Consider the following 9,372-nt stretch of genomic DNA (forward strand, 5'->3'; position numbering starts at 1 on the left):
AAAATCTTAGAATTTGAAAGAGATATCTCTTTTGATATAACCTGCTTCTAGGTAGAGGACTTCTTTTTACAACATCACTGATAAATAAACCACTAGCCTTTAAAAAATTAGTTCTGATCACGAGATGCAATGAAATCTAAAGAATTAATTGTTGATCATCATTAAACAAAGAAATTTGTTTGTTTGTCAGAGGCAGGATCTCACTCTGGTTGCCCAGGCCGGAGTGCAGTAGAGTGACTATGGCTCACTGCACCTCAACTTCCTGGGCTCGAATGAGCTTCCCATTTCAGCCTCCCCAGTAGCTGGGACTACAGGTGCATGCCACCAGACCCAGCTAATTTTTGTACTTTTAGTAGACACAGGGTTTCACCATGTTGCCCAGGCTGGTCTCAAACTCCTGGACTCAAGTAATCCACCTGTTTCAGCCCCCTAAATTGCTGGGATTATAGGCATGAGCCATGGTGCCTGGCCAAAAGGAAAAAATTGTTTAAAAATTTAGGTAAATCTTCCTTCTTATAATTTCTTATTGATTTAAGTTCTACCTTTAGTAAAAACTTGACTGTCTACTCCTTGTTTCTATGACAGCTGTTCAAATAAAGACTTTTCTATAAATTCTAACCATTTTTTCCCTCTAATTATCCTTCCAATGGAACTTATCTACCTGAAAGCCCTAGCTAGAACAGTACATGCAAAATCCACATTTAATTTAAATAATTATATTTTAAGGTAGTACCAACTAGATAGTAGTTCAGAAAAAAATAGGACTTTAGGGTTTTAGTTGGGCAAGCTCAGTATAATTAGCATTGAGACTCAGCAGTTATAAAACAATCTCAGGCATAATTAACAGAAAAACGTTTAGCTAAACACATGGTTATTATTTTTGTTTGTAGCTTCAACTTCACTGTAAGAATTATTTTTTCATGTAATTTTCCAAGTTGGGTCTATGACCATTAGAAGAGTTATTTCAAGGCAAAATCAACCATACTTCCCAGGTTTATGGATTCCAACTAATTGTTAGCATTAGCTTTTGATATTCATTTTAATTCAGTAAGCATATACTTACTGTTTGCTTTGTGCAACAGTACTATGCTAGGTTCTAGGGTGAAAAAGACATTATCCTTGCTCTTAAGAAATTTTCATGGAAAAGGCAGATTTATAACTATTATACAAGATGACAAGGCTTTAAAGAGAGGAATATATTAATATAATGTATTATGAAATACAAATCATGAAAAAATTAATTCTGCATAGTATCATCAGGGAGCAATAAAGAGAAGTGTTAACATTCAAACTAGACCCTGATGTCTGAATTGGACCGAGAACTTCCAGACCTAGGGAGTACCTGGAGCAATGACACAGAAGGCTTGCAAGATCATGGCATGTCAATGAATGGCAAGAAGTCTGTAGAGACTAAACTTTTTCAAGAACATTCCAGCTCTGGTGTTATAGTTTCAGTTACAGTATTGTGAGAAAGGTCAGTGAATTATGTATAAAACAGAATTCAAATAGCTAGAATTCAAAATGCTCATCTTGAGCCTTCTTTCATTTATTGTTTGTGTGTGTGTGTGTGTGTGTGTGTGTGTGTGTGCAGCAGAAAAACTCATTGGTGTGTTCCTGTAATAACATTCAAGCTCTACACTCATTTTCCATAGTTTGTGTGAGGTCTTTGTGTCAGGGTCGCAGGAAAACATTGTGAGAAAAGCCATAATGAAGATCTTGCTACCTCACCATCATGGAAAGGGTTAAAAGATACTTTTACAACTTCTGAGTTTATTAACTCAAAGAACCAGGTTTAAAAGTCTCTGTCTTCTTCCTTTCAAATGCATCATCTTATTCATTAAAAATTATTTCTCCCAAATTCTTATTAAAGATTTCTAAACAGGGAGATGACATTATCTGATGCATACTTGGGTAGATGACTGATGGCAATGTGGAAATGGATCAAAGGGTGGAGCTTGGAGAATGGTGATTACCATACGCCATGTGAGAAATAATAGGATTCTAGATCACGCCCATAGCACCAGGGCTGAAAAGGAAGAAACATAGACAAATTAGAAGGATATAGGATATGGATGGTGGGGTCAGGAGAGGAGTGGACAGTAATTTGATTGTTTCATCTTGGATGACAAAGGGATGGATGTTGGATTTATTGAGAGATTGTATTAGAGGACGATGAGCAATTATAGAAAAAAATAAATTTAATTTTAAATAAATTGAATTTAAGTTATCTATAGAGCATACAGAAGGAGATTTTTAATGCAGAATTAAGAGTATCAGTCTGGGTTCAGGAGAATGGCCAGGGCTAGAGGAAATCTAGGGATAATAGCTGAAATACCTGAAGCAAGAAGCCAAGAGAACAGAGTATGTACAGAAAATTGGAGAAGACCAATAATTAAAGTATGGACAGAGAAAGAAGAGTCAATGGAAAAAAGTTAAAATAAGTCATTAGAAAGATAGAAAGAGGATAAGTATTTCTGGTAAGTTTAAAAAGGAGAGTATTTCAAGGAATTATTTATTAGTGACAGATATTGTGGGTTCAATGAAGAGGTTGGTAAGAAGACCACACATTTGATATCTGGGAGGGTTTTTTTGTGATATTTCTCAATAAAATGATAGGGATGGAAGCCACATAATAGTTGGCTGAGAAATGAGAATTAGAAGACAGCAAGTGGAGACATAGAGTCTAGATAATTATATTTAAAGTTTGGCAGTAAAGGAAAGACAGCAAATAAAATGTAATTGGTGAGAAAACAGGAAGAGTGAAGATGGCACCTACTTGAGGGAAAAGATGGCCCAGGAAAGTGTTTCTTAGAATATTGGTAGGAGAGGGAGAAAGACTGAGTAAGACAGGGTAGTTACTCTTGTAGCAAAACTAGTGGAGTTGGAAAGGATTAGAATTCACTGAAGTTTGTGCTTAATATGTTTATGTTTTATATACTTCATTTTGATATTTGGAAGTATTTATTATATAATGAAAAATACTAGATGCAAAAAAGTTCTACAAAAAAAAAAACAGAAAAATCAATGAATAAGGTCACTGTCTGAAAGCCTTCTAAAGCATTTGAGCCATAGATCATGAATTTTTAGTTATTTAAATTTATTTTTAAATTTTACTTTGGATAACAGGAATACGAGAGCTGAAAAATTATAATTCTTAGTTCATAGCACACTTCTTAAATTATTTCTAATAATATCATAAACATATGTAATACCAACTCCCCAAACAAAAACTAAGATAATACCTGATGTCTGACATTAACGACCTCAACCCCAATATTATCACCCTGCCTCTCCCCACCTGAGGTAACTGTCATTCTGAATTCTATTCCATTACTTACCTTTCTTTTTATATAGTTTTATTGAATATTTACACATTCCTAGAAAGTAGATATTTTTATTTTAGTTGGTTTTAGCTTTTTTAAAAGGGTACCATGCTGTATGTAATCTTCGGGACTTGTTTTTCCACTTAAGATATTACCACTAGGATTTATCCATATGGCTGTAACTCTGGTTAATTTATTTTTTCTAATGTGTAATATTTCATTGTGTGAGTATCCCGCAGTTCACTCACCATTCTCTTGTTGATGGGCATCTGGGTTGCTCCAGGTTTTTGCTATTGTGAACACGTGTTACTAGAACATGTTTCCTCTTGTACATGGGCAAAGACTTCTTTTAGTTGTATACCCAGGAATGGAATTGCTGGGTCATAGGTTTGTAAATGATCATGCTTAGGAGAAAATGCCAAACTCTTGTTCAAGTTGATGCATGATTTTACATTTCCACCAACAATATAAAAGGCATCCTGCGGCTCTACAACTTCTTAATGCTTCATTTTATTAGACTTTTTATTTTTTTATTTTTATTTTTGCCATTTTGCTAGATATAAAATGGTACCTAATTGTGGTCTTGATTTCTATTTTCATGACTACCACGTAAATTAAATATCTCTTCATACATTTATTGGCTGTGTGTTCTTTAGAACATTTTTACATTAAATTGTTTGTGTTATTGATTAGTACAAGTACTTTATATAATTTTCATATTACGCTTTGTTCATTGTATATATGGTGAATGACCTTTCTATATTATAACCCATATTTTCATGTTATTTAAGGTTTCTTTTGATGAATAACAATTTTAATATGTCAAACTTAGGGTTTTTTGGGTTTTTTTTTTTTTCTGAGACAGAATCTTGCTCTGTCATCCAGGCTGGAGTGCAGTGGTACAATCTTAGCTCACTGCAGCCTCAACCTGCTGGGCTCAAGTGATCCTCTCACCTCAGTCTCCTGAGTAGCTGGGAATAAAGGCACGCACCACCACACCCAGCTGATTTTTGTATTTTTTGTAGAAATGGGGTTTCACCATGTTGGCCAGGCTGGTCTCGACCTCCTGGGCTCAAGTGATCCACCCCCCTCAGCCTCCCAAAATGCTGGGACTACAGGGGTGAGTCACAGAGCCTGGCCTATTTTTTTCTTTTATAGTTAATGGTTTCAGGTTTTGTTAGAGAAATCTTTTGCTACTCCAAGTCTAAGAAATATAAACCTATTACTTACTATTAGATCTTGAGTTTTAAAATTATTATTTTAAAATGTTTTCTTAAAATGTTTTACCATATATTTTTATAATAAACTTTTTATTCTTAGATATAATGCTGTTTTTGAAGTTTCAGAGCATTTCTGCTTTCTTTTTCTTCTTCCTCTTCCTCTTTTATTTTTCTTTCTTTTTTTTTTTTTTTTTTCTAGAAACAGGGTCTTACTCTGTCCCCCGGGCTGGAGTGCAGTGATGCAGTCATAGCTCACTGCAGCCTTGAACTCCTTGGTTCAAGTAATCCTTCAACTTCAGCCTCTTAAGTAGCAAGGGCTACAAAGATGCGTCACCATGCCTGGCTAATCTTTTTTTATTTTTAGTAGAGACAGAGTCTTGCTCTGTTGTCCAGGCTGGTCTCCAGCCCCTTGCCACAAGTAATCCTCTTGCCTCAGCCTCTCAAAGTGTTGGGATTACAGGCCTGAGCCACCGTGCCCCGCCCTTCTGCTGTTTTCAAAAAATTTGTTTTAATCATCTTGGAGATGTAAAGTCATTTGATTAAAACACAAAGAAACAGGCCAGGCACAGTGGCTCACACCTGAAATTCCAGCACTTTGGGAGGCCAAGGCGGGTGGATCGCCTGACGTCAGGAGTTTGAGACCAGCCTGGCCAACATGATGAAACCCCGTCTCTACTAAAAATACAAAAAAATAGCTGGGTGTGGTGGCGAGTGCCTGTAATCCCAGCTACTTGGGAGGCTGACAGGAGAATCGCTTGAACCCAGGAGGCAGAGTTTGCAGTGAGCCAAGATCGCACCATTGGACTCTAGCCTGGGTAATAAGAGTGAAACTCCATCTCGAACAGAAAACAAACCAACCAACAAACAAAAAAAACAAAGAAACAAACAACAAAAAAGAAACAAACAAAAGAAACTCACCTTAAATTCAGAGAATTCAACCATGGTAATCTCTTCAATGAATAATAGTGTCAGAGTTTTGTGATTCAATAGATGAAAATCCAGCTTTTTAATTTTTGAATTCTTCTTCTGTAGCTTTGCTGTTAGAAATAGAAACAATTTGGTCAAAACCAAAACGTGGTTTCATGCTATGTAAATACATGTGCATATATGAATGTTTGTCCCTTATTATATGTGACTTCCAGGCAGCAATGCTAATACAATATTTCAATCTGTAAGAACGATTTTGTGTTACTAAATAGGCATCATCATTTATGCTTTTGAAAAGAGATTTTTTATTATGCCATGAGTCATTTCTCTAGTCCATTCTGAGACACTGATAAAAAAGATTTGTGATAGAAATACTTTGGTATAATGTAAGGAGAATAACATGATTGCAAAATATTGGAAAAATAGCTAAATATATAGTAGCAGGCCCTATATACTAAATTTTTACATTCTGTCACTTTCTAAATTCAAAGAACAAAAAAGTTAGAAGTACAAACTGAATTGGCAGTTTTCCCATCAAATTGTTGAGTTAGGTAGAAGAGAAAGTAGGTGAAGAGTGCCTGCTGCATGAGCTTACCTTTAGCAATCCTTCCCATTCAGCTTTTTATACAAATTCTTTGCCATACAAATTCCACATTATAAAAACTTTCTAGAAACTGAAAGTTCTTTTTTTAAACTTTAAAAAATCCATTTTTTAAACAATGTTTGCCAACATATAATTCCAAACTGAAACCAGATGTCTTAATGTTTGCTGAAAAAAGTTATTTTATCATTTCACATGTACCCAGGTGTGTATATTTATATAATTTGTTTATATGTAATAGATTATGGTATATGAAAAACATTAAACAAACCTACAGATGTGTTTGGCTAAGTGGTTCATCCAATAGGTAATGTATTTTACACATTATTTCATAGTATTCTGTTCGTTGGTTGTTGAGACTATGTTCAAATAGAAATGGAAAGGGGTTTATCACTAGAAACAGGTTTGATTTCCTTAAAAGGCAGTTGTTTCTTTTTTCCTTTGCTTCTCTGGAGAATTGGCTGCAAACTGGGAATAGTTCTCCTCTGACTCATTTGCAGAGCAGCACTAGAGCATATAGAGTTCAGATAAAATTATAATGAAACATTCTAATTTGATGATGTGGAACAAGAGAGTAGTTTCTAAAAGAAAATTTTACAGATTGCGTTTACTTAAATCTGCTTTGCAGATAAAGTAAGTTGTTCCTTAAAAACAACTTAGTCCAAACATCGGGATAAGATTTTCATTTGCCTTTCAAACTCAATATTGCTAGTTTGCCAGAAGACATGACATACACAGTTATATTAGGTAGCAATAATTTAATTCTTCATCAAGTATTTTGAAGGTAATGCAATGACTATTTTAGATTTCCAAGTCCATCAAAATACAGATTAAAAAGTTTTAAAATGTTTTTAAAAATATTATTAATTGTACCAACCAGACAGAATATGCTAAAATTAGGACTATTATGAAACTAAATATACATTTTAAAAATTCTATGGCAGCACCAGCAGAAATGTTTTGCCATTTTTAGCATGGTGTTCCTAATGAATATATGCTTTGAATACAGACACTGATTCAGTCATGTGCACAAGTATTCAAAAATACTCATTGAATATTTAATCAAAAAGGCTTGCTTATTGAATACTTACATAATATGAGGGAGAGCAAATATTAGGCATTAATATGACAGGAAGCGCTAGTCGATCATTGCACTCATTCTTCTGAGCCTGGATTGAGCCTCCCTGTCTCTCAAGCTTGTTTCCTTGTCAGTCATTTGGAATTGATGAGAATTGGACTTTGAGCTGAAACCTCTTTGTAGTCACTGTACTTAGCCATACTCCCCTCTCATAATTTGGCTACTTTTTGCATACCGAAGTAATTGACTGAAAAAATAAAAGTTTATTCATCTAGGTATCAACTTTTAAAGCTGTTTTGATGTCAGTAAACATCAGTTAAGGGCATACCATAAATCAAACTGGGCTCTAGGGATGCCAGGATGAATATTATAAAGTTCTTCTCTTCAAAAAGCTTACATATTATAGAGGCAGTCAAATATGTGACCCAATTAGTGTAATATGATTTTGCAAGTGTTATTGTAGAAGATGGTATAGGGGACAGTGGAGGCACAAAAGAGGATGGAGAGAGATCGGAAAGTTTTCTAGAAGGTGGAATATATAGCTCGAAATATGAGAAGGTGTCTTTCAGGATGGAGGAGAGAATCACAGAAAGTGTTCGAGGCAACAGCCTTAAGGCATAAACCAGCACGATCTGTTAAAGAGACTGAGTACAGGAGTTGGCTACAACCAGAGGCTCACTATGCAGCAAACAAGATGTAGTGGAGAGTTAGGCAGGAGCCTCCTCATTCAGGGACTTGTGATCCCTGCTAAGAAGCTGGAGTTTGATAATGGCAATGGGAATCCACCACAGATATTTAAATAATGGGAATAATATGATAACTGGTGGAGAAATTATTGGACGGATGAGAGACTGAAGGCTGGGAGAGCAGTTATAAAATTATCATTTTAGTATAGGTGGCAGAAATTAGTGGTAGAGAAGAGGAGATAGATACCATTGATGCAAAATAATTGGATCCTGTAGGATAAGGTGGTTGAAGAGTTGTGGGAGGCAATGAAGGAGAAAGAGGAATCTGGGATGACTTGGATATTTGAGCGGAATTTAGAGTAATTTGTGAAAACAGCGACTATAGGAGAAGGAATAAGTATGTAAGGAAAGATAAGGAGTTTACTTTTATGTATTTTTAGAGTGAGTTTGCTGAAGGACAGCCAGGGTGCCTAGTAAGCAATTTTATATAAGAACTCAGAGCTCAGGAAAAGGGAAGGACTAGAATTCATCTGTGTGCAGCTGGTGGTTGAAGTCATTGGAGTGAGTGAGATCACCCATGTCATAAAAAACAACTTTTATCTAAGTGATTCGACTGTGCACGTATTAGAGTAAATACAAGAACACTTGGCACCCACAGTAGGCACAGCACCAGATACTTGTTCTGTCTTGGACAGAACTCTAAGAACAAAATAATCCACCATGGAACAGAGGAAAGGCAATAATTTTCTGTCTTTCTCTAAACTGTAAAGTAATTTAACCATCAAAAGAACTCTTTGTAGTTTGAGTGTAATGTAAGAAATATGTATTCCATACCCCAGATTTATTAAAATTGCATATTGGAACAATTTTGCTGAGGTTAAAATAAATCTTAAAACAAATAAATATTTTCACAGTACACATATGAAACCATTTTTTTTTGGACACCAATCATATAATAACCAGGCAGTAGGTGGGCAAACTGGCCAAATCAAGAATGATGTCTGGCTGGGGAAGATTGTTATTAAGATCCACCTGATTTCTTTTCTTTTTTCCTTTTTTTTTTTCTTGTTAGAGAGAGGGTCTAGCTCTGTCACCTATGCTTGAGTGCAGTGGTGCCATCATAGCTCACTATGATGTCAGACTCCTGGGATCTGGAATCAAGTGATCCTCCCTCCTCAGCTTCCCTAGTAGCTGGGACTACAAGCGCGCATCAACACGCATGGCTATTTTTTACTTTTATTTTGTAGAGACAGAGTCTCGCTGTGTTGTCCAGGCTGGTCTTGAACTCCTGGCCTCAACAGATCCTCCCACCTTGGGCTCCCAAAGTGCTGATATCACAGGTGTGAGCCACCACACCTGGCCCAACCTGAGTTCTTTACCTAGTCCTTAAATGTTGGTATTCTGTAGGATTTCATGGTCAGTCCACTGTCTTCTCACTCTACATGCTATCCCTTAGAGATTGTTTCATTCTCATAAGTACTACTACCATCATTATATTCATGATACCATCATATCTTTAGTCTGGATCTTGCCTTCA

The 9,372-nt window shown here is 35.8% G+C and overlaps 1 protein-coding gene across 5 annotated transcripts in view, besides 1 other annotated feature; it reads left to right on the forward strand.

Annotated features, from left to right (window-relative positions):
* Nucleotides 1–9,372, forward strand: part of SYNPO2 (synaptopodin 2) — a 210,567-nt gene that overhangs the window by 61,329 nt on the left and 139,866 nt on the right. The window lies entirely within an intron of this gene.
* Nucleotides 5,195–5,695: an enhancer, noted in NCBI's record as "H3K27ac hESC enhancer chr4:119838359-119838859 (GRCh37/hg19 assembly coordinates)". NCBI's record gives its function as "activates a minimal SCP1, AML or CMV promoter by ChIP-STARR-seq in primed H9 embryonic stem cells {active_cell/tissue: H9 hESC(primed)}" and the evidence as "EXISTENCE:reporter gene assay evidence [ECO:0000049][PMID:30033119]".

This window comes from Homo sapiens, chromosome 4, assembly GCF_000001405.40.
Source record: "Homo sapiens chromosome 4, GRCh38.p14 Primary Assembly".
In the NCBI taxonomy this organism is placed as follows: Eukaryota; Metazoa; Chordata; class Mammalia; order Primates; family Hominidae; genus Homo; species Homo sapiens.